Source organism: Homo sapiens, chromosome 9 (assembly GCF_000001405.40).
Source record: "Homo sapiens chromosome 9, GRCh38.p14 Primary Assembly".
Lineage (NCBI taxonomy): Eukaryota > Metazoa > Chordata > Mammalia > Primates > Hominidae > Homo > Homo sapiens.
The window spans coordinates 121,667,322-121,693,068 of record NC_000009.12 but is presented as its reverse complement, the minus strand read 5'-3'; the positions used below and the strand labels follow the sequence as shown (position 1 = coordinate 121,693,068).

Genomic DNA, 25,747 nt, shown 5'->3' with positions numbered 1-25,747 from the left:
ATCTACAACACTAGGGGCTAGACTGGGTGATCACCAAGCTCCTTTCCAGCGCTGATATTTGATGATTCTATAAAGTCAGAGCAGCTGCCAGGGCCAGGGTGCCTGGGCCGCCCCAAGCTAGGCACTAATGGCATCAGGGAATTCTCTGGCTTTGCCCAAATCCTTCAGATGCGTCATTCCTCCTGCCCTCCCCTTCCCTGTTCCCCGGTCTCTACCCTCAGCAGGCTGCCGGGCTTCTCTGGCCTCCTCCCCTCAAGGGTATGCACCATCAAAGAGAGTCCCAGCTGGAGAATGACTCACTAATGGAATGTCAGACACTGTGACAGGCGAAAGAGGGGAGGCACCTTAAGCTGGGATTAAGTTGGTGACTTCCTGGTGGCCACCTACTCACAGGCCACCCTATGCCCACAGAATCCTCTACAATCTCATACCAGTGAGATCGCCACATATTCCGCCTGGAGAAGGTAGCCAGACTACTTAAGTCAAACAAAGAAAACCAATTCATAGGCCTTGAGAGCCTTCAGGGAAGCCCCAGGAAGAGGCTGGACCCTGACACTCTAGGGTCACTGTTGAGTTAAAATACTGCCTGGAAAGACACACTTAAACATGTTCTCATAGAGAAATATACAGGGCCAGAAACATACACAAGTTCAAGGACAGGCATGCATACAAATGCACACAGGAAAGGCATCCCACAAAGAAATGTATGTGTAAGCATACAAGTACCCCAGTGCCACCACACATACAGACACACACAAACACATACACATTGATCAGCACACACACGAATACACACATACACAGCCATGAAACATACAAGCTAACATACAAATACACTGAAATAAGCCAATAAATATACACATGTACTCAGCTATCATCAGGCACCAGCAGAATTGTGCAGACACACAAGCTAAACACGCTGGCCCTCACGTGCTCACATTCACAACCAGGACAGGAAGGGCAAGTGGCCCAGGAAGCTCCAGAGTTAGGAGCCCAGATCTCAGGACCAAGGCAAGAAAACAGCTCTTAACGGCTTCCAAGATAACTCCCCCTGCTTTTCTCGCAGGGCTTCACTTTGGACAATTTGTTTGCTTCTCTCACACTCAAAGCTCGTTTTTACAGCTTACAGCTCCCAGAACCTGTGACTTTTGGAGTTCTGTTCCCTGGCAAGAGCTGAAGCTTCCTGCCCTAAACATTTCTCCTGCCCATCAGTACAGCTGAAATTCCACTGTTTGACACACCTCTTTAGGTCCTAAGGGTAATTCAATCTCTAGGAATCCCCAGGTAAAATGTAAATAATTTTCATCCTTCCTCCGGAAGAAGGTGGGAGCAGGGGATTCCACCACTTAATGGCTCTGGGGCCTTGGGCTCATGACTTAACCTTCTATGCCTGTGTCCTCTTCTGTAAAATGGGGACGAGGTAGTTGTGAAGATTCAATGAGATCACGCATGGAAGAAACTTAGCCCATTTCCCTGCATACAATAAATACGAACTGCTATCATTGCGGTCATGATCACTTTCATGGTCATAGTTTTTTTTTTTTTTTTTGACATGGAGTCTCTCACTGTCCTCAGGCTGGAGTGCAGTGGCGCGATCTCGGCTCACTGCTATCACTTCCTTTGACCACCAGAGACCAGCCCAGCCGTTAGCCAGAAGGGCCTGGGCTGTTCCTCCTGCCTGGGAAGGAAGACTCTCCACACCCTTCAGGTACCTCCTCAGTCTTTCTCTTAGAGGCCTCCCCGGATGTCCCCACACTAGGCCAGGTCTCCCTGTAGACTTACCACAGTTGTAATTATAAGTGTGTTTGTTTAGTGCCTCCCCCACCCCATACTGGACTGTAAAGCCTCCAGAGCAGGGGCCATGGCAACCTGGGTCTCCAGTGCTGGACGCCTGGCAGGTATTCTCTCAATATTTCTTGAATGAATTCACAAATATTTAATGATATAAAAGGAAAAAGATAAAGTGCTCTGTGGGGCTTTTTAAAAGGATTTCACTTGGGAGCAATCTGGGCAGACTTGCTGGAGGAGGCAGCTTTTGACAGCATTTTAGAAACATTGAAGGTGGGACAGCAGGTGGGCTTGCTGAGATTGGCTGGGGCAGGATAGCCACATAAAGGCATTCCAGGCAGACTCACAGCATAAGCAGAGGTGTAGAGGTAGGACAGCGGGGAGTCTGGCTGCCCTGGGAGGCCCCTGGAGTTATCACAGGTCCCTCCAGCCTCCAAGTTATACACCACCACCTGAGCCTGGGCTTGTAATCCCTTCCCCAGGGCAGAGGACACCCAAGTAAAGGGGAACCCTAAGGAACACTGAGAGTCTAACGGAGGAAAAAGAGGGGAGCCCAGATTTGAAGAGGGTAAAGGTGAAGCTGGGAGGGGAGCTGAGGACGTCAGCAGAGCCCTCCTGGTACCTGCCAGTGCCCAGGATTAGGCGGGCATCAGCGAACAGAAACCAGTTACGCATTCCCAAGGTCTCAGCTTGGGATGTGACAACCCAGAGCAGCCAGGGAGTGACTCATTGTCCCATAGATCCTCCAGCTGACACTTGCCTTAGCATAATAAGCCTGTCCCAGAGGTCTGGATGGCTACAAACACCTCATCAGCTCTTTAAGCTCTCAGCCAGCCCTGGCTAAGGGGTGGGGAGTTGGATACCCAGGGCCTCGTGGCTGCAAGGAAGCCGATTCCACCAGGAGGTTACACCCCTGCAGCAGGGTCTATACTATCTCCGCCTGCCTGCACGTCCTATCACTGAGGTCCCAGCCAGTCCTCCCGGGGCTTGCTGACTTTAGTGCTCATTCCCCAGCAAAACTCCCCTATCCTGTGCTCTGTGCACTGCATGAGTGGCAAGAAAACCACGTTTGGAGTCTATAAGTCTGGGGTCAAAACCCAGCTCTGCTATTAATACTAATGAGGGCTCTTCCAACACGCTGCTGAGAATTAGTCAGATGTGTTTAGTAAGCCCTGTCTAAGCTTCAGGCACTGTATTAGAGCTTCCCATGACTTCTCTTTAATTCTCACAACCCAGTGTGCAGATGGGAGAACAGAAGTTCAGAAAGGGCAACTAATTTGCACAGCACCGCACGGTCAGGAAGCGGCAGAGCTGGGTTCAACACAGCAGACAGGCTGCTCCAGAGCTAAAGCTCTCATGTAATTCCATTACCAGACTGAGGCGTTGAGCCAGCACCTAAGCTGCTCTGTGACTCAGTTTCCCTGCTGTACAATGCGGGGATTAGTCTAGCTGATCTCTGAATTCTTTCCAGCTTTGTTGTGCCTCCCTGGTGACCCATTTGCAGGTGACAACACATGGGGGGGGAGTCTCCCGGGGACAAATGGGCACTAATGGTGGGACTTTCAGGTTTGCGCTGGGCCACAGGGAGCTTCTGTTGGGTAGGATTCCCCTGCACTTCCAGGCACCCAGCTGGCCCGGGGGGCCCCAAGGCAGCAAGGCAGGAAAGAGATGCTATCTTGTTTCTCTCCCTGGACCAAGAGCCACCAAGGAAAAAACAGGACCCCAGGGAGCTCCAGGACTGAGGACCAGTAAACACTAGTGGGAGGGAGGGGTGGGGGAAACTCCATAAATCCACCTGAGTAAGCAGTGCTTTTAAAAGCCCTTTTCACTACAGAATACAAAATGCACCATTTTAGGAGAGGATTTTATAGGCTATTTCTCCTGGGTGATTTACCATCTGCGGGCCAAGGTTCACCTGGGAGTCCTGGCCTCAGAAGGCCCATGGGTATGGGGTGGAGTCAAGGTCAGTTTCTTTTTTTTTTTTTTTTAGATGGAATTTCACTCTGCCACCCAGGCTAGAGTGTAGTGGCGCGATCTCAGCTCGCTGCAACCTCCACCTCCCAGGTTCAAGCTATTCTCCTGCCTCAGCCTCCATAGTAGCTGGGGTTACAGGCATGCGCTACCACGCCCGGCTAATTTTTTGTGTTTTTAATAGAGACAGGGTTTCACCATGTTGACCATGCTGGTCTAGAACTCCTGACCTCAGGTGATCCACCCACCTCAACCTCCCAAAATGCTGGGATTACAGGCATGAGCCACCACGTCCGGCACTTTTCAAGGCAAGGGCTGGTGTCCTTGCTGGCCTCTGGTGGGCTGGGTCACTTGTCTTGACCTGTCCTCCCAAGGCAGGGGACCACTCTGGCCTCAGACACCCAGTGTGGGGGCTGGCAGAAGTGTGGGGGCTGGCAGAAGTGGAGAGGTCACGGCTCACCCTCTTCCCTGCTCACCCTGCGCTTACTCCATTTAATTCGTTTACTCCCTGTCTCTCTCTGTCTCGTGCACCTTCATTCCGCAAGCCCCTCATGAGCCTGCCACAGGTGAGTCCTTGCCCCAGTGCTGGGAGTTCAGACAAATCAGAAACAGTCCCTGTCCTTGAGAAGGTGACCACCGTCTGGTGGGAGAGACAGAAGTGATGGATCATGAAGTCACAGAGTCCGTGAGGGAGCGTGTACAGATGGGGTGTTCTGCAACCTGGACAGAGCCCTGGATGGCACTAGTGAGCTCTGGAGACAGAGAGAGATGGGGAGGAATTGTGGGTAGAAGGATCCGCCCACACAAAGGCGTGGAAGCTGGGACAGCCTGGGGGGCTTGAATGCCAGGCCGGGGAGCTGGATCCCCCACCCTGCTGGGAGCCATCTAAGGTGCTGGAGCAGGGGAGTAACAAGCTCAGCTCGTTTTAGACGTTCTTTAAGCAATTCCACAGGAGAAGTTACTCATCCCGATGCAGAGCCTTGTGTTAGAAACAGATGTCACTGCTGCCACCTCCACAGAGGGCCTCCTGGCTTTGGAAACAACAATTGCCGCTTGACAACTCAGATATAATTATGTCTGTAATCCCACCAAAATACCACTTGATCGTTTCATTTTTGTAGCATGAGGAGGTGGGAAAATGAAGGCGTCTGAGCCTTGCCCCTGACATGCAGGCTCCCCCACCTCCCAGGAAAGGGGAGGACCTGCAGGGCCACAGGGCAGGATGACAAGAGGAGAGCAGTTCTCTCCTATCCCAGGGGTGTCTGACCCCTAGGGCCAGGCCTGCTCAAAGTAGGGGCAGGACAAGATAAGGCAGAGAGATGGGGAGGCCTGGGTCCAAATCTCAGCTCTGTCCCTGCAAGCCGTGTGGCCCAGGACAATGCACCTCCCCTCTCTGGGCCTCAACATCCTCGTCCGTAAGATGAAGAGAAAAACAGCACTGACTAGCAAAGACTGGGCTGCATGCTATGGTCCAGGCGCTGTGAGAACTTCAAGATCCAGGCCCATGAGAGGAGCCACCCTCAGCTATCTCTTCACTCCCCATCTGCCTTGATTTTGTCACCTTCTATGAGTGAGATTTGTGTTATCTGAGCCTCGAGTTGTAAGGATTAAATGAGACAATACTTAGAAAGTGCTCAGCACAGGGCCTGACTCAGAGTACTATGCAGAACAGGATTCAAAATCCCCCATCGTACAGACAGCAGAGGTGGTAGAGCTGGGATTCGAACCCAGGCCAGTGGGACTTGGAGTGCAAGCTCTGACCACCACCCTGCCTCTCCCACAATGCCCGCCTTACCCCCTCTCAAAGCAGTGGTAGGTGGAACAGGTGCCTATAACCCATCAAAGGGTGGCAGTGACTGAGTGTCTGTTGGCCCCAGCCTGGTGACCACAGTGCAGCAGCCCTGCCTGACAGATCACATGCTGGTCCACCTCACCCTGTGCCCTTTCTCTTGGTGGACAGCTGTCCCAGCCCCAGACCTTGTTCCATCCAGTGTCCCTGACCAGGGTCCCCTTTCAGAACCCCTGGCTTTCTGGTCAACCTAGGCCCAGCTGGCACAGCCAGTCATGCCAGGCCCAGCCATTGACAGGTGCTCCCGGATCTGAGCTGCTCCCAGCCCCCAGCAGTATGTTCTACACCTTGTTTAGCCAGCTAACACCTTGTTGGGCCAGCTCCCTGTGGCCCCTGACACACAAACCCCTGGGACTTCAACACTCACTGGGAGGAGCCACCCAGAAGTCCACTTGCTACCCTCTGCTGCCCCCAACTGGCAGGAAACCACCCTGCGCAGACACCTCCATCTCCATCTGAACTCACCACCTAAGAACTTGGTCTCTGGTCCCCTAGGAACCCCTCCAGCCCCTCTCCACCTTCTACTGCCAGGGCTGAGCCCTAGAAGTTCAGTCAGGGGTGATGTTGCTTTGGGGCCGTGACGGAAGGGTATGGAAGTGGGAGGGGTCTGCCCAGTTACCTGGGGCTCTGGAGGAAATGTGGGGTGGAGGTGCACCCCTCACACAAGCAAAGGGAACAGGTGTGGGGAATGCTGCCTTGTGCCAGGCACTGAGCCCTCACAGCCACTCTGTGGGGAGGGGTTCCTGCCCATTTACAGACAGGGAAAGAGAGTGGGGCAACTTGCCTGAGCCATCCTACAGAAGGGAGCAGTGGCCAAGATTCTAATCCTGCTTCATCCCTGGGTTGGGGGGACTATCCCTGGGAGAGGCCAGCACTGTACCCCAAGACCCTGAGTGGGTGTGAAGAGAGGAAGAAAGGCCCCCACAGAGAGCATTCCACTCGCCAGTTACTGAACCTGGCAGGGACTGGGGTGGTGGCCTTTACACCTTAACGGGAACCAGTTCATCTGATTCCATGCTGCCCAACAGGCTTAAGTGCAGGGCTGGGGAAATGGAATTTACAGGGATGGCCTTCTGATGTATTTGGAAGTCCCCAGGGCAGGAAGAGGAGGGGGTACAGAGGCTGGCTTGTTCCCTTCACTTCCATCCTCCTCACTCACACTGCCCAAGCCAGCTGCCACTTGCCAGGATGAGGCAGAAGATTCCAGGGATCCTTGAAGTGGGCTCTTCCCCCTACCCCTGCCCAAGGGCATTCTGAGCACAGATGTTGGGGGGGTTGGAACAGGCTCCTGAGAACCTGCTTGAGAAAAGCAATTTGCTTGTCCCCCCAACCCCATGCTGGATCCCCACCCAGTCTTGGTCTCTGCCCACTGAAGGAGCTCCAGACTCTCCTAGCCTGGTCAAGTATGCTGCACTCCATGTCTGCTCTGGCCTACTCTGGCCCACCTCACCTCCCTTGCTGAGGACCTCATACTCCTGTTAATATGGCCTTAGATCCCATCTGCTCTGTTCACTGCCGTGGATCTCTTGTCGCTTCCATTCCAGCCACTTCCTCACATTTCAGCCCCCAAACTGCGCTCAGTTCCTGCTGTCATTTGCTCATGCTGTTTCCCATGTCCTGGCCTTTGCCTGGAATGTCCTTTCCCCTTCACCTGCCTGGAAATTACTTCACCAAGCCCCGGCTGGCCCTTCTGTATTTCTGCAGGTAGCAACTACGTTTTCATCCTCTTTGTATCCTCAATGACTGGCATAGGCCCTGACACATAGTTGGTGATGATGGCAAATTTATCGAAAGAAAGAATAAAGAAAGGCAAAAGGAGAGAAGAAAGTAAGTTCGTTCACACCGCAGCAAGGCTCGCAGACGAGAGCTGGGCTCCTGCCCCTACCACCCACCAGCTGGAGACCTGCTGAGGCCAGGCCTCTCTCCTCCCTAAGCCTGGGATCCTCAACTGTAAAATGGAGCTGATGAAACCACCTTCCTGTGTATTAATGGGGTGGGGCGACAGCCTCCCAACCCTACCAATACTGCAGCAGTCCCACCTCTGTCCCAGGCCTCAGACTAGCCTGGTCTTGGATTCAGGAGGCTCCAAGACCCCCTGTCCCCAGACTCCTGCCCCGAAGAACATCCTTGCCCCACCCTGGCCACCCCGGACAACTCCTGAGTCCCACCTTCCAACACTCCCTCTGCAGAAAAGGGGGATGCCCCCCGCGGAAGGCAGACACAGACCAAAATGACGGTAATGTTCCTTTTGGGTTTGAATAGTTTAATACCAATCAGCCTCCGTGAAGGGCAGGGATGGAGGGAGTGAGGGTGGAGGGGGCGGAGGGGGCAGGGTTTGCTCTTCCACCACCCCGCCCATCCGCTGAATACACGCCGGATGCTGGGTCAGGAGACTGACTCACAGAGCAGAACTAAGCAAATTCCTCATACTTCAAGGAGAAAACTGGGGCGCCCATGGTGGGACCCCACCCAGGGGTCCAGCACTACCGCCCTGTTACAGCCAGGACCACGTGGCTGACATCCCTCCACTGGTTGATGGGCCACAAACATAAATATGTCCCAAGTGAACGACCATCTGAGATGGACCCACAGCAGCCTGGGCCAGTGGAGGGAGCCCCAGCAAGTATCCTGGGCAAGCTGCTCCTCTCCAGGCCTCAGTTTCCCCATATACCCTGGGACAGATCTGGCTTGTCTGATCTGTGAGCCTGGCTGGCTTTTCTGTTCCCCACCCCAACAGCCACCCGGAGCCTCCGTAGCTTGGAAGGGGCACAAATGGGGGGCAGCGGGGCCGGCTCTGCAGGGAGCAGAGAATGCCCCCTCCTGGACCTGAAGTCATGCATTCCTCCTTCAGGCAGCCCGCAGCCCAAACTTCGGGTCCCTCTACAGCTGGGGCTGGGGCCTGGTGGCCAGGAGGGGGCAGTGTGCAGATGAGCGGGAAGGAGCTGTCGTGGGGCTCCGAGGGCAGTTGGACCAAAGAACACCCATTCCTCCCAGGAAATGTGATGGGGGCTGGGAGAAGGGCTCAGCTCAGACGGGGTGGCTGATATCCAGGTGCTGGGAGGAGAGGACAGGAAGGAGTAAGGGGTGAGGACCACTGGATGCGGGGGAGAGGGACAGAGACCTGGGCTCAACTCCAGGCCCTACCCTAGACATGCTGTGTGACCTCAGGAAAGGACCCTCCCGTCTATGATTCTCAGTCCCTCCTCTGTATAGGGAAGGGTTGAACCAGTTAATTTCCAACAGCCTTTCCATGGTGACATGGGCGGGAGGGTCACCCACTAGCTTGCATGTTTGTGTTCACATGCCTGTTTCTTGAGTTTGTGTGACAGAAAGACAGCTGAAACATGGGGAGGGTGCAGGGAGGCTACAGGAGTGAGAAAAGGGGTGAGCAGCTGGAAAACCTGAGGTCCACAGCTCAGAGGTCTACTGCTAGCTCCACTCACAGCCATCATCCACTGTGGTTCTTGTATCCTGCAGGGGAAAGTCCAAAGGCTTTAGCTCACCCACCAAGGTCTCTCACTCTTCTCTCCAGGCCCTGAACCCATCCAGCACTCCAATCACACAGGGCCATTAGCTTGTTTCCTTCTATTCACTTCACTAACTGAAATACTCTTCTCCCTTGGTTCCTGACGAACTCCTATACACTCCTCAAAGCCCAGCCCCAAGAGTCCCTTCTTTAAGAATTCTTCCCTGTCCTTCCTGGCCAGAGATAACTGTTCCTTGTTCTGTCACAGCATCCTATGCAGGGTGTGCACAACCAAGCACCAATAAAAGTGAGTTGTTGAAAGAAACCAAAGACCTGCTCCTAGAAGCATCCATAATCAACCCAATGTTGAGTTTATCTGCAGTTTCTGCCAGACCCCTGGGCCTTCCCCTCCCTGACACTTCTCCTTCTCCATCTCGCAAAAAATAGCCCTGAGACCTAATTTCAGCTAAACCTTCAAACACGACTCTCCACTTTCAACTTCCCGAGGAGGAATCAATTGGCTGTCAAGTTTCCCTGAGCCTCTGCCACCTCCCACACCCCAGGCCTGCCAGCCATCCTCAAGGTTGATGGGAGGGGGGTGGGGGCAGAGGAAGGAGGGAGGGAGGAAGGACCCAGCCCGCAACAGGGAAGTTTGGGGCTGGGGAAGGGAGCAGGCTAAGGAGCTCGTGGGGAGACCAGGAAGAGTCATCAGCTCTTTGCCTCCCAAATCAAACCACGGCTCCTCTGCCATGGAGTGGCAGGAGAGAAAGAACAGCATGCTGTTGCTGCTAAGGGGTCCAGGGCCTGGGGAAGCTGGGTGGGCACATGCAAAGCCCCCAGACCCAGTCTGACCATTGGTCTATGCAGATCCAGGGCCCCAGCTTGCTGCCTGCCACCCTTCCCTCCTTCCCTTCCAGGAGACACTACTGGCACAGAGCAGACAGACCTGGGTTTGAATCTCAGGAGCCTGAGAGCTGATGGCCACAGATGCACAGGAAGCCTCTCTGGTCATCTACTCCCAGGCCCCTTCCCCCATCCTCATTCAGGGCCCCCTATAACTTGCAGGGCACATGCCAGCCTCGTAGCACTGTGTGGTCCTGGAGAGCCACTCCCCTACCCCCCAACTCTCCCTATAGGAGGGAGGGAGTTGTCCCAGATAGGCAGAAAAGTTCCACTCCTGAGCAAGCCACAAAGCTGGTATGAGGCTGTGCAGGGCCTGAAACCTGGGTCGGGGAACTCTCTAGAGCCCATTCTCTTAGCTACTGCACCAGAACATTTAAGCACCTATTTATGCCTGAACTGTACGCTGCCTTACAAAGTCCATCCCCCACATTTCACAAAAGGGGAAACTGAGGCTCTCCCAGGGTCATACAGTCTACAAGAGGCAGGGGCAGGACTAGCACTGAGCCTTCAATGCCCTACAGAGTGGCTGCAGGTCCTCGGCTGACTCACAAAATGAGGAGGGGTGGCATGTGATGGTGTAAACAACCCAGGCTCCTGAACTGCTGTCAGCTGGGTGGTGACCTCTGACAAGCCCTTCCCAGGCCTCAGTTTCCATGGAGAAGGTGGACAGGCTGAGCCTTGTAGACCTTACACCGTGACTCATTGATTCTCCCTGCGGAGCACCCCTGTAAGAGATGCTGACAGCCTGCCATCTGGGTTTGAAATGGCAGTGAAGGTGGCAGTTATTCCAGTACATCCTGTGGCATCTCCCCTGCCTCCCCGAGGCAAAACCATGTTTCCTGGGTTCCCTCGAGGGTCTACACAGAGCAAAAGTCAGCTGAGCACGTGAGGACATAGCTTTTGGGAGCCTGTAAGTGAGCAAGTGTGTGCTACGGGCTAGGGGAGGGAGGAGGGTGCTTCTGGCCCTGCACAGGGTCTGTGTGAGGGACTGTCCCCAAGGCCCAGGCCAGGCTCACCACTGACCTTCCCCCAAACACCTTGTCCTCTGCCTGTACTCCAACCCTCCTAGATCTTTACTGATGTTTTACAGCCAAAAATGGAAACCCGATTTGGATGTTAATGATGGATTTCATCCATGAAGCACCTACCATGGGTCAGACTTGGGCGACCACATTCACCAAGTCCACAGTCCAAGCAAAGTCTGTCATTCCAGATTTTACTGTCAAGAACACAAGGCTCGGAGAGGCTCAGTGGCTACTGAAATCACATGGGTCATGGAAGATCTGGGATTTGAACCCAGATCCCCACCTCTGAGTTCTCCAGTCCCCTCAGCTCCCAGCACCCAGCCCAGAAGAGAATCTCAAATCACATCTCTTAAGGACCAAGGTGCCCAGGAAAGGACACAAAACGTAGATGTCCGGCAGTCCTGACTCAGGAGCTGAGTGACACCAGCTAAAGAATTTCACCTCTGAACCTCAGTTTCCTCACCTGTGAAATGGGCACACTAATGGTGCCTCCCCTAGAGGGTTGCCATGAGAAGTGGGCAAAACGACCACCTTGAACACGCTCTCCATCCTGCAGACCCTAACCGGGCAGGTGGGACTGCGAGTTGAGTCCCAGGCAGCTCGAGGTTCCCAAGGCTGGCTCTGACTGAAGGTGGTTTCTACCCTGGGAGACAGAATGAAGACACCACTACAGGGAAAACACTGATCCTAGCTGTCACTTAAAGAGCTGCAAATTATAAAAACTTTAAGGTGTGATAATACCCCTATTAGAGCAACTCAGAAAGGGAAATAGCCGGAAAAGCGATGCTGATGGGGTTCTGGGGGGGTGTGGGGCAATGGATCCGCCTCCTAGCCTGAGGATGGGTGTGCCTCATGCCCTGGAGTCACAGAGACCTGGGGTCGAATCTTGGTTCCGCCACTTAGTAGCAGTTGGAGCTTGGGCAGCAAGTGACTTTACCTCTCGGAACCTGTTTCCTCACCTGGGAAATGGGGTAACCAATGTTTCAGCTGTAGGTGTGTCTCCTGGATGAAGAGAGATCAGGTAGGCTGGGCGTGGTGGCTCATGCCTGTAATCCCAGCACTTTGAGAGGCCGAGGTGGTAGGATCACCTGAGGTCAGGAGTTCAAGACTAGCCTGGCCAACATGGTGAAACCCCGTCTCTACTAAAAATACAAAAAATAGCTGGGGGTGGTGGCAGGCTCCTGTAATCCCAGCTACTCGGGGGGCTGAGGTGGGAGAACTATTTGAACCCGGGAGGCAGAGGTTGCAGTGAGCCAAGATCACACCACTGCACTCCAGCCTGGGCGACAAAGCAAGATTCTGTCTCAAAAAAAAAAAAAAAAAGAAAAAAAAAAGAGATCAGGGATGTAGGACAGTGAGCCCAGTGCCTGGCACACAGTAGGCACTTCATCAATGGAGGTGGCTACTATTACTAATTATTATTAGTCATCGTTCCCTAGGGTCCCCCTGAAGGCCCACCCTGCCTGCTGTGGCCCCAGGGATCCAGAGAGATCAGAACTTGGTCTTCGCTCCAGCTGATGGGGGTCACCCTTGTCCCAGCCTCCAAGCGCTCCCTGCAGGCTGGAGACCAGCTTCCTGAGACCCCCTGGCCAAACTCAGGGCCATGACCCTGAATCGTCTCAGCGCAGGCTTCCTCCTCATTGCCCATGGGCTCAACCCCCAGCTGGGGACTCAGAATCACCTCCTGGGGAAAGCTTGTTAAAATGCAGGTTCCCAGGCCCTGCCCTGGCCCAGTGGACTGAAATCTTAAAGAAGGACAATAAGCTAGTTTTTAAGGCATTTTTATAACATACTGGCAGTGGAGAGAATCAGTGGCCCTGGGGAAAGCCCCATCCCTTTGGCCTGGTACTGGAGGTTCCACGTGACCTTGACTCGGCCAGGCCTCCCAGCCTCACCTCCTACACTGTCCTCCAGATCCCCTCAACTCCAGCTCCACCAAGCAGTTCTGCATGCCACAAACACATCAGCCCCTGACCTTATGAGCTCACATTCTCATGCTGACACTAAGTATTAGGAAACAGAAGAGCAGGCTGCTGTGATGGCGGAAAAGCAAGAGGGCTTCCTTGAGGTGGTGTGGTCAGGAGCTGATATCTGAGCTGATGCCCAAGGGATGAGGAGCCAGCCCTATGGCAAGCAGAGGAAATTTCTAGGGTGCCTCCATACCTTTGCAACTGCTGTTCTCCCTCCCCGGAAGTCCCTCTCTCTCTCTCTCTGTCCTTGCCTAGCCATTTTCTACGGACCCTTCAAGATGCAGCTCAAAAGCCAGCTCCCGTGGGACCCCCTCCCAACCCACTGTGAATAGCCAATCACTTCCAGCTCCCCTGGAGCCCCTATATGATGCTATCCAGTGACAGCCAGGCCTGCACACTCTCTGTTCCTGCCACCCAGAACCTTCTTTCCTCTGCTTGCACACAGCAGGCATGCCAGAATAACTGATGAGTGAATGAATGGATGAACAAACCATCCAACATCCACCTGACCTACAGACCTGAGCTCCGTGGAGAAAGGAATGTGTCTATGTCATCGCTGCGTTTCTGGTGCCTGGCACAGCCCTGGAGAGAGGTACACACAGTAATGCTCCTGAACGAGGGAGTGAAGGGACCCAGAACTCTGGTGTGTGTGTGTGTGTGTGTGTGTGTGTGTGTGTGTGTGTACATGCACAAATGCAGAAGGGTATGAACAGTCAGACGTTAAGGGTCATTGGGTTCTGTTTCCATAAAGTTGTTTAGGTTTGTAATTTTTAAAAAGTCTGTGTGCTTGTGGGGACCACTCAGTTCAATAGCTATGATATATATTCTGTGTTTTGTCGGTTCTAAGCCATCATCAGTTATAATATATAGCATTATTTTATGTACCACCAAGAAAGATTTAAATTATGGTATGCCATGAGAGGTGTTAAAATATATGGAAACAAAAATAGTGCATCTTTTCGGGGTTGCAGAAGCACAGTGTGTGTGCGCCCTCAAGGGTACATTTATCTAAACTAACAAGAGCCTCTTCTCTTTCCGGGCCAGCTCAGCGCTGGGCCCCATAGCCTTCGGTGCTGTCTGTCCTCCACCTGCCCCCTCCCTCTCAGGATGGGACCCCCCATGTGGCCCCCGGGACCAGGGCTGAGCCACGGAGATGGGAGCAGCTGAGGGATCGGATACCTAGAGCAAGGGAGGCCGGATGCTCTCCGGGTCCATGAGGCTCCAGGAAGGGGGGCCGTGGGGTCACAGAGCAGCACCCCGGGCGAGGTGGTGATGGTGGTGGCAGTGGCGGTGTTGGTGACGCAGAGATAGTTACCGTGACCCGGAACGGCGTGGCGGCCGAGGGCTCCATGCTGGGGCTCTTCTCGGAAAGGCTGCCAGGCAGGCTGCGCCGAGAGCCCGGCCTTTCTTGAGGCGACTCTGCCAACAGAGGAGGAGAGAGAGGTTGAACAAGAACAGCCAAGGCCACACAGCTAGGGCCTCCTGCCACTCCCATCCCAGTCAGGACAACAGACAAACCGGTCCCTAGAAAATGGTCCAGGCACTATGGAAAAGTCTGGCAGTTCCTCCAAAAATTAAAAATACAAGTACCACATGACCCAGCAATTCCACTCCTGGGTATAACCCAAAATAATTGAAAACAAGTACTCAAATACCTGTATGCAAATGTTCACAACAGCCAAATGGTGGAAACCCAAGGGTCCATCAGCAGAAGAATGGACACACACACATGGTACTGACATGCAAAGGAATACCATTCTGCTCTAAAAAGGAATGAAGTTCTGATTTAAGCTGTAATGTGGATGGACCTTGAAAACATTACGCTGAGTAACCCAAAAGGACATATTTTGTATGATCCCATTTATATGAACTATCTAGAAGAGGCCAATTCGTAGAGACAGAAAGCAGATTTGAAGTTAGCAGAGGCTGATGAGAGAGGGGAACAAGGAGTTATTGCTTAATGGTACAGAGTTTCTGTAAAGGGTGATGAAGAGTTTTAGGAATGGATAGTGGTGATGGTTGCAGAACATTACAAATGGACTTCATGCCACTGAATTGTACACTTAAAACTAGTTAAAATGATAACTTTTATGTTTTACATATTTTATCGCAATTTTTTAAAAAGGGGGGAAAAAGGCCTGGCACAGTGGCTCACACCTGTGATCCCAGCACTTTGGAAGGCCGAGGCGGGAGGATCACCTGAGGTCAGGAGTTCGAAACCAGCCTGGTCAACATGGTGAAACCCTGTCTCTACTGACAATACAAAAATTAGCCAGGTGTGGTGTTGTGTGCCTGTAGTCCTAGCTACTCGGGAGGCTGAGGTGGGAGAATCACTTGAACCCGGGAGGCGAAAGTTGCAGTGACCCAAGATCGTGCCACTGCACTCCAGCCTGGGCAGCAGAGTGAGACTCTGTCTCAAAAAAAAGCGGGGGGAAAGGTTCCCCAAAACCCCCACTCCTTGTAATGTAGTGGGCTCCCTGTCACTGGAGGCATATAAGCAGACAGATAACTGAGCCATCTCCTGGGATGCCACACTTGGGGAGCTTGGATGACTTCTCAAGTTTTCTGTTTGTTTTAGAGTCAGGGTCTCACTCTTTCGCTCAGGCTGGAGTGCAGTGATGCAATCATACTCAACCAGCCTAGAACTCCTAGGCTCGAGCAATCCTCCTGCCTCAGCCTCCCAAGTAGCTGGGACCACAGGCACACCCCAACACACCTATCTAATTTTTTTAAAAAAAATTGTAGAGATGGGGGTTTCCTTTGTTGCCCAAGCTGGTCTCAAACTCCTGGCCTCAAGCGATCCTCCCACCTTGGCCTCCCAAAGTGCTGGGATTACAGGGCTCAGCCACTATGTCAGCCCCCACGTTTTTTCAAACATGAGAATCTGTGACTTCTGGCTTCCAGTTATTTTCCAGAGGCTTTAAACTTGGGAGGCCTACAGAGGCCAGCAGGAAATCCAGAATCTAGGAAAGCAGCCAGCCACTCGGCGCTAATTGGTTACTGCTACATCACAAGGAGGGGCTCAGGGCAGCCATAGCTGCCATGGTTCAAGAGAGGCTGATAATCTGGGTTTTTCAAAATATGAAGTATTCTGACTCTTAAATGGTGACAGCTCATTGAAAACTTTTAGTCATGGCCTTAGCACACCTACATAAAACCTCCTGAGTCTGTCCAACCTGCCAACCTGGCCACTTTCCTCACTGGTTCCCCCACAACAGCGTGGCACCAGCTGCCTCTTTGCCATTGCTCCAGAGGTGGCCCCCAACAGAGGACTCCCTTCCTGCTCCCCTTCCCCAGCCTGGTCCATCCTGCAGGCCCTGGAGGAGGTCCTGGGTGACCCCCTCTACTTCCAGCTCTTGCCTCGCTTTTGGCTCCTACAGCAATAACTAGACCTGAGTCTCCTATCAACGCTCTCATTTGCAGTGTGTGTGCGTGTGTGTGTGAGTGTGTGTGTGTGTGTGCGTCTGCAGAACTCCTAACACCTACGCCTAAGCTGGTTGCATCTCCACCTCCCCAGCACCCTGCATGGAGCCTGGTGCGTGGGGGGTGCCTGGGAAAGACCTGTTGACTCGCAAGGGAGAAGAAGGACAGGGCAGAGGTTTCCCTGGTAGGTGTGAACACACAGGGGTGTGGAGTGAGACGGTAATGCCCAGACAAACACATGTGCATGTTTATATTCATGCAGATACTCCAATGTGTACACTCCCAGACCCACCCCAGGTACCTACTGAGCAGGGGACGTGCGCACACACACACAGGACAGATGACATGGGGTTCACACAAGGAGCAGGCTTTCCAGAAGGCAGAACAGGATGCTGGGGCACTGTGTGCTTTCCAGGCCATTCCCTCCACACAGTCACATGGACAGGAGTCCACAGAAGCACAGGCTTCATCCTGAGCCTTGGCTCATGGCCAAGCAGGCAAAGCTGTCCTGAGACTGGTTCAGGCCCGCTGACCTCCAGGCAGGCCTGGGGCAGGCATTGACACCAGGTCCAGACCATCCAGCCCCAGGCGCCTCTTCCAGAAAAGCTCCCTTCCCACATGGCTCATCCTCAGCCTGGCGCCGTCTCTTAAGGCCCTTGCTGTTCCCGCACGGTGCTTCCTGCTTAGAACTTTCCTTGGACCTCCTCCTCCACAATCTCTCTAGTCACAGTCAGGGGATAACCACTCTTTCTGGAGGTTTTGCTAGGAAAATTCTTCCCATGCTTTCCTGTCTGCCTTCATCTCTCACCCCTTCGCACCACCCACCTGGAGCACCCTCCTGTCCTCTGTGACAGCACATGCCACCTCCCTCTGGGAGGCTGTCACCCATAACCTGTGTCCCATCTGCTATACTCAGCCAAGCTACCAATGACCAGAGCAGAAGCTGAGGCTCAGGGTGCAGTCACCAGCCCAAGGTCACAGGGCTACTGAGCACCACAACAGGAATGAGGGTCCAGTGTGTCTGGACCGAGTCCATGGCTCCTTCAGCCTTAAGTCCCATGGGTCCCAACACCCAGCCAAGGGGCCAACGCATAGGAGGTACTCAGGGCTTAGTCTCAGGATGCAAACCTTAGCCAGAGGCAGACCCCCGGGTTCAGCCACCTTTCTAGGGAAAGCGGTAGAAGTGGGAGATGGGCAGTGCCAGGCACAGTCAGGACCCTAAGCCCGACTGCTTCTAATGCCCTCAATGCCCTCAGAAAGAAGGGACTCCTCACCTTGGCACCGAAAGCCATTCTACCTCACACACTCTCTGGCTTCTGTTCTTGCTAACCCTCTTTGCTGTACCTGCCACGATGCAGGAATGTCCCACCTCCACACCTTTACCTATGCTCTCCCCCTCCCTAGAATTCTCTTCCCTGGAATGGCCTCCTGCGGGAACTGTCATCCTTTGAGCTCTGGGGCAATGCTGGGGGCGCCCAGATCACTTTAGGAAGGATGACTCACAACCCCGCACATCAGTCAGCCCTGCAGACTTGCTACTTGGCGACTCAGCAGGAAGATGGGTTGTCTGTTTCCCACCCCCACCCAGAGCCAGGCACCCTGCAGTGCTTAGTCAAGATGCCTCCATCAAACCAACAAACACGGGGTACCCACTGCAGTTATGGAACCTGGTTGGCAGAGTCAGGCTGCCCCACAGGGGTCTTGGGATCACCAGGACAAAAGCAGCTGGAGCTTCCAGGAACTACCCTCCCTCTCCTGACACATACACACACACACACCACACACACACACACACACCACCCTGGCCACAGCTTTACACTTTCCTGGGTAGGTGGGCCCTCACCACTCCAGGCAAGAGGTGCATGGAGTGCCCTGGTAGAACACTGGGTGCCCGGTGAGGATGTCTTTCCACTGAGACCAACACTGATGCCCAGAATCCTGCCTCTTGCCTCCTGGGTCTGGGCCAGGAAGCTCTCAGAGGTTGCTTGGTCCAATCTCCCATTCGACAGATGATGAAGCTGAGACCAGAAGCAAAGAAATGTGTGTGTGATCCCTCAACAACAGGTCTATAGCAAAGAGTGCTCCCAGAAGTCTTTAACTTCCATTCAGAAGCCCTGGCTACACCCCTCCACCTGAGAAGCTAGGAAGGCCGCAAGGATCCCAGGTGGCCGGAGGATAGGGGCCCACTCTCCCTCCTGCACAGGGCGGCTGGCTCTCCTCCCTGACCTCTCCAGTCTCCCAGCCCACACCCAGGGCAAGGCCTGCACTCCATACGAAACTGGAGGGAAACCTGGGGCACCTTCCCAGGTATCTCCTGTGTGGCCCCTAGTTCCATTCTCCACGTCTCTGTGCACTGCCTTCTGCTCCAGGGCACTGGCCTGTATAGACTTTATGATCTGAGCTTCTAGACCCTCAACTTCCATGTGGTTTGGCCAAAGAGGAACCCTGGCAAGAGATGAGGGGAGGAGGGAGAGTCATCTGGGCTGCCTGCCTCCTCCACGGAAGGTCCCAGCCACCATCGGGATGACCCTATCTTCTGGACCTTTGCCTCCCAGCAACCACGCTCTCCCCTCCTCCATGGGGCCTCAGGGAAGCAGCCCCCGCTGTCCCTAGCTTTGGGGTCCTGCACTGCCCCGTGGTTCCCGAGGCCTGCCCACGCCTTCATAAGCAGCCCCTCTATTAAACGCTCCTCTAATCACCATAGTCTGAGGCACCACCTGCTTTTCTCCAGACCCTGAACTGATCCACCAGGTGGGAGCTCAACTGCCTGGGAGTCACCCATGGAGCTGATGGGACCTCCTTTACCCACAGATGGGGAAACCAGGCCCTGAGAGGAGCTGTGATGTGCCCGTGGTCACACTGAACATCGAGGGCAGAGTCTGGGCCAGGCCAGGCTCTCTCCTGACCTGACACCCCACACACCTTCCCCACGGAGCCAGCCACCTGCCGTAAGCTCTAAACACAAAGTTAATGAAGACATGGATCGCTGGGTTCTGGACCCACGTTTCTCAATGTTTTTTCATTGTCGCTCTCCCTTAAAAGTCTTCTTAGACACTTTTTTCCTAATTTCCCCTCCATAAAATTTTAATATCACAGACATACAGTATCTTTTATGTACTGTGTGTATACTGGGCTTTGTACAGAAAGGTTTTTTTTCATCTTCTAGCCCAAGAACCAACTTTTTGCCCACTTAGGGGCAATCTCGCCCCTGCTGAGAATGCATGTTCTGGACCCTTTCAAATGTAATCCCACAGGACAACCTGGGCAGCTCTATAGTGAGTTCCATTTTCCAGATGGAGAAACTGAAGTTCTGAGAAGCAAAAGTGACTACCTCTAAAAGTCCTCCAGGGAAGAAGCAAGAGTATATGCCGAAAGTCCCTTAAACTGCCCCCAAACCCACACTTCCAGCCCCAGAGAAGATGGAGGGGACATGGAGCATGGGGTTGGGTGAGGAGCCAAGCTGACACCAGGAGCCTGGATTCAACCCTGACTCTGCTGTGTGACTCCATGGCTGCCCCTTTCTCTCTCTGAGCTGATTTCATCAATCCAATGAGTCAGGGAGTAAGAGCAGTGGTCATCTCCAGTCCTTGGAACCAAGTAAAAACACACACACACCCTCTATTATTTTACACAGGAAAAGAAGGCAGGGAACTGACCCTGAGTTCTAACTCTGGACCCTGGGGATTCAGCCTCGGGGTCCTAGGCCCCAGCATGCTGCCTTTGGCCTTTCATTTTGCAGCAAATCTTTTCTAATTTGGGCAAACAGACACTGGGAGGCCTGGCCTCATGGTCCCATAGGTCTAGCACCACAGCTGGTGCCAGTAGAAACCCAGAGAGGTGAAGTGAATCTGCTAAGATCACACAGTATGAAAGTGGCATTCCTAGGGTTAGATCACGGGAAGGGAGACCCAGCCGATCTCTTAAGAGTGCGCCCCAGACCTTCGAGCATGATCCAGCAGTCTTTCCTCCTCGGCTCAAACTCATTGCATGACTTCTATGTGACCTCTCGGTCACCTAGTCTGCAAAATTAGGCCATGGGACCAGCTGATCCTGGATCCCCTTTCCTCTAGGAGGTGGAAAGGGTCTCCATTTACCAGGCTGTCTTCCTATTCTTGGAAGCCACAGCTGGAGAAATGCATTTTAACCTTCATGTGTTTGCAAAAAATAAATAAAATAAAATCAGTTTCATTCAAATGCTGCTGGCTTGGTTGCCATGGTTACCACCTAATCATGAAGGATGACTGTTACTTGTTCCCATGGAAACACGGCGGCCTGAGGAACATCCTGTAATTTCAGACAAGACACCAAATTTCAGTTGTCGGGTTGCATCGCCCAGATCTTAATACTTAAAGGCAGGTAGAGGCAGCAACCTCTTAACGCTAACGTCAGGAGAAAAGAAGTCAGCAAGAGTGTAGAACAAGGAGGTGCTGGACTGGGGTGTCCCTGTGTCCTCGGCAGTGATCGGGAAAATGCAAATTAAAAGTCTCAGATGCCATTTCATACCTTTTGGAAAGGTCCTAGACCAGTCCAGAATTTAAAAGAAACTAAGTAAAAGAAATGAAAAAGAAACCAGTCTAGAAATTAAAAAGAACTGCGACTCCAAATGTTGGCAGAGATGCACAGAACACTTTCATCACTGCTGATGGAGTGAAAAGGGCTTGAAGAACAATTACACAATAGCCAGTAGGAACCGACAACACATATGTGCTAGGGCCAGAACCTTCCCTCCTACTCATCCAGTCAAGAAAACTGCTTCATCCTGCACACGTGGAGATCTGCACAAAGATACTGACCGCAGCACTCTTTGTAGCAGCAAAAAGTTAGAAGCAACCTAAATGTCCACCAATAGGGGAACAGTCATTCAATAGAACATTACACAGCAAGGAAGGGAGGACACTATTCACATGGAACACAATGGCACTACAAAGGACCTAGAGCTATAGAGATCAACATGAATACAACTCAGAAATATGATGTCGAGTGAAAAAAATCAGTTGCAAAAGGAAATGGTGTGTAATCCACTTATATACCATTTTTTTTTACAAGAATGTTCACAGCACCTTTATTTTTAATAGCCCCAAAACTGGAAACAACCAAACATCCTTCTATAGATGAATGGTTAAACAAACTGTGTTACATCCAGAATGAGTAAGGCAGAATGATGGTCCCCCAAAGAAGTCCACACTCTTAATTCCCAGAACCTGTGAATATGTTGCCTTACATGGCAAAAGGAACTTGGCAGATGTGGTTGAGGTTAAGGATTTTGAGATGGGAAATCATCCTGAATTATCGAGGTGAGAATAATCTAATGATAAGAATTTGTTGTTGTTGTTGTTTTGAGATGGAGTCTAGGTCAGTCGCCCAGGCTGGAATGCAGTGGTGCAATCTCAGCTCACTGCAACCTTCGCCTCCTGGGTTCAAGCAATTCTCTTGCCTCAGCCTTCTGAGTAGCTGGGATTACAGGCATGCACCACCATGCCCGGCTAATTTTTGTTCTTTGTTTTGTTTTGTTTTTTGTTTTTTTTAGACGGAGTCTCACTCTGTTGCCAGGCTGCAGTGCAGTGGCACGATCTCGGCTCACTGCAATCACCACCTCCCAGGTTCAAGCGGTTCTCCTGCCTCAGCATCCCGAGTAGCTGGGACTACAGGTGTGTGCCACCATGCTCAGCTAATTTTTGTATTTTTAGTAGAGACGGGGTTTCACCATGTTGGCCAGGATGGTCTCGATCTCTTGACCTCGCGATCCTCCTGCCTCGGCCTCCCAAAGTGCTTGGATTACAGGCCTCAGCCACCACGCCCGGCCTAATTTTTGTATTTTTAGTAGAGATGGGGCTTCACCATTTTGGCTAGGCTGGTCCTGAACTCCTGACTTCAAGTGATCCGCCAGCCTCGGCCTCCCAAAGTGCTTGGATCACAGCCGTGACCCACTGTGCCCGGCCAAATGATATGCATTCTTAAATGTGGAAGAGGGAAGCAAGAAGGTGAGTCAGAGAAATGTGATGAGGAAAGAGGCAGGAGAAATTCTAAGCCTGAGAGGAACTCCATCTGCTGTTGCCAGCTTTGACACAGACAGAGGTGGTCACGAGCCAAGGAATGTGGATGGCCTTGATCTAGAAACTGGGAACAGCCCTCAGCTGATAGCCAGCAAGAAAACAGAAACCTTAGTCTTACAACCACTTGGAATTGAATTCCCCTAGCAAGGAATTAGCAATGAAATGGGTTTTTCCCTAGAGCCTTTAGAAAAGAACGCAGCCTGCTGACACCTTGATTTTGGTCTGGCAAGACCCATGCCAGAGGGCTTGCAGGGTTGTAAGATTAAAAACCTGTGTTGTTTAAGCCGCTAAGTTTTAACTTGTTACAGCAGTCATAGAAAACAAATACACACAGTATGGAATACTACTTAGCCCTAAAAAAGAAACACACTATTGATACACACGACAACTTGGATGGATCTCCTGGGCATTATGCTGAGCGAGGAAAGCCAGTATCAAAAGGTCACATAGTGTATGATTCCATGTACGTGGCATTCTCAAAGGGATAAAGCAATAGAGATGGAAAACGGATTAGTGGTTGCCAGGGGTTAGGGATGGTGGTGGGGCAGGCAGGTGGATGTGATGTTAAAGGGGGAGCACAAGCGACATCTTCGTGGTGATGGAATAGTCCTGGATGCTGATTGCAGTGGTGGTTACTCAAATCTACATACATGATGAAATGGCAGAGAACTATACGCAGGCATGGTACCAATGTACACGAAAGATCTGGAATAAAAGCCCCTGACATCGGGAAGCTGGCTTGGCATTCACGGCTATACCACGTTATTCTCCTTTTAGACATAATCGCAAAAGACACAACCTCAGACAAGGTTACTCTGAGGCCATGATGAAGTGAGACAAAACAAGGTCACTACCTAATTTTTGTTGAAGTAACCCATAAAGACAAGGTCACTGTGCCACCCACAAAATACCAATCATCACCCTCTCTTGGCTGAAAGCAGTGACTGCTGCTACTTTACCAGTCACAGCTTTAGCCCCCAATGCCAGCCTCCTCTCCCTAGAGATAGGACTCAAGCTACACAGTTATAGACTTGCCTCTGCCTTCTGACAGCAGATGCAATTCATCTAGTGTGAATCCCACTCCCTTCGACCTCCCCCAAGTCACCCAACCAAAACCCAAATCCTATACTAGGTTCTTCCTAACACACACTTTCTGAGATGCCCCATGGTGCGTGCTCTCCCTCACTGCAATGAGTAATAAATGCAACTTATTCAACTAGAGGTGTACTCTTGGTGGGTCTTTGGCTAGAGGGCAACTGCAGCTGGAGGATCCGTCCTATAGTTATGTAAGATGCAACCATCAGAGAAAACTGGGTTCTTGGGACTTCTCTGTACTGGTTTTGCAATTGCTTGTCAATCTATAATTATTTCAAAATAAAAAGTAAGGCTGGCTGGGCGCGGTAGCTCACGCCTGTAATCCCAGCACTTTGGGAGGCCAAGGTGGGCGGATTGCTTGAGGCCAGGAGTTCGAGATCAGCCTGGCCAACACTCAGCCTGGCCAGCATGGCAAAACCCTGTCTCTACTAAAAATACAAAAATTAGCTGGGCATGGTGGTGGATGCCTGTAAACCTAGCTACTTGGGAGGCTGACGCACGAGAATTGCTTGAACCTGGGAGGTGGAGGTTGCAGTGAGCCAAGATCCCACCACTGAACTCCAGCCTGGGTGACAAAGCAAGGCTCTGTCTCCAAAAAAAAAAAAAAAAAAAAAAAAAGTAAGGCTTACTATGGACCCTTTAAGCTGAAATACACTTGCTGTCTATGTGATTAATATGATGTTTTACTTTGTTTACATGTGCATGCACTTACATAGAAAAATATCATATTACACAGTAGCCAAAAACTTGTTATCAGACGTTCTCTTTGGAGAAGGGGACGGGCTATGAATGGAAACAGATGACTGTACAATTTCCTGAATGAAAAATAATTAAGACTTCCCAAAACTAATAGTAAAATTAAAATATAAATAGGTGATATGACTCAGCACAAATTGTACTCGATGAATACATCTGAAGAGAAAAGAATAGAAGGAAGAGAAAATACAAAATCAGAAAACAAAACAAAACAAATTAAAATCCACAACAGCCTGGGTGCAGTGGCTCACACCTGTAATCCCAGCACTTTGGGAGGCCGAGGCAGGAAGGCTGCTTGAGGCCAGGAGTTCAAGACCAGCCTGGGTAACACAGCGAGACCACCATCTCTAAGAAAAGTTAAAAATTTAGCCAGGTGTGGTAATGCATGCGTGTCATCCTAGCCACTTGGGAGGCTGAGGCAGGAGAATCACTTGAACCCGGGAGGCAGAGGTTGCAGTGAGTGGAGATCGTGCCACTTGAACCCGGGAGGCAGAGGTTGCAGTGAGTGGAGATCGTGCCACTGCACTACAGCCTAGCGACAAAGCAAGACTCCATCTCAAAAAAAAAAAAAAATCAACAACAGCTCAAATGGTGATATGGTTTGGCTCTGTGTTCCCACTCAAATGTCATCTTGAATTGTACTCCCATAATTCGCACATGTTGTGGGAGGAACCCGGTGGGAGATAATTTAGATCATGGGGGCGGTTTCCCCATAGCGTTCTGGTGGTAGTGAATAAGTCTCATGAGGTCTGATGGGTTTATCAGGGGTTTCTGGTTTTGCATCTCTCTCATTTTCTCTTTCCACCACCATGTAAGAAGTGCCTTTCACCTCCCGCCATGATTCTGAGTCCTCCCCAGCCACATGGAACCGTAAATCCAATTACACCTCTTTTTCTTCCCAGTCTTGGGTATGTCTTTATCAGCAGCGTGAAAACAGACTAATACAAATGGCCAGTTAGAAAAAGTGGATCTGGCTGGGCGTGGTGGCTCACGCCTGTAATCCCAACACTTTGGGAGGCCGAGGTGGGCAGATCACTTGAGGTCAGGAGTTCAAGACCAGCCTGGCCAACATGGCAAAACTCCATCTGTATTAAAAAAAAAAAGATGAAAAATTAGCTGGGTGTGGTGACGCACAACTGTAATCCCAACTACTCAGGAGGCTGAGGCAGGAGAATCATTTGAACCTGGCAGGCAGAGGTTGCAGTGAGCTGAGATCCCGCCACTGCTCTCCAGCCTGGGCAACAAGAGTGAAACTCTGTCTAAAAAAAAGAAAAAGAAAGAAAGAAAAAGTGGATCAGAGAAGTCCAAAGATCAGGAATCAGGAACATACCTGTGGGTGGGGAAACATAGCTCCCACGTGGAAAGTGAACTGGCTAGTGCTCCCCGAGGGAGGGGCCAGGTGAACTGAGCAGGAAGCCAAAGGTAAAAAACACCATGCAGGCCAGGCG

The 25,747-nt window shown here is 51.9% G+C and overlaps 1 protein-coding gene across 2 annotated transcripts in view, besides 2 other annotated features; it reads right to left on the bottom strand.

Annotated features, from left to right (window-relative positions):
- DAB2IP (DAB2 interacting protein) overlaps nt 1-25,747 on the bottom strand; it is a 218,457-nt gene that overhangs the window by 92,462 nt on the left and 100,248 nt on the right. For both annotated transcript variants that reach the window (NM_032552.4, NM_001395010.1), the window contains exon 2: nt 14,288-14,391. In NM_032552.4, coding sequence (NP_115941.2) covers nt 14,288-14,391 — 104 coding nt within the window. The remainder of the gene's footprint in view (nt 1-14,287; nt 14,392-25,747) is intronic.
- Nucleotides 5,753-5,902: an enhancer, noted in NCBI's record as "active region_28925". NCBI's record gives its function as "activates an Ori minimal core promoter by ATAC-STARR-seq in GM12878 lymphoblastoid cells {active_cell/tissue: GM12878}" and the evidence as "EXISTENCE:reporter gene assay evidence [ECO:0000049][PMID:35858748]".
- Nucleotides 8,270-8,770: an enhancer, noted in NCBI's record as "H3K4me1 hESC enhancer chr9:124446578-124447078 (GRCh37/hg19 assembly coordinates)". NCBI's record gives its function as "activates a minimal SCP1, AML or CMV promoter by ChIP-STARR-seq in naive H9 embryonic stem cells {active_cell/tissue: H9 hESC(naive)}" and the evidence as "EXISTENCE:reporter gene assay evidence [ECO:0000049][PMID:30033119]".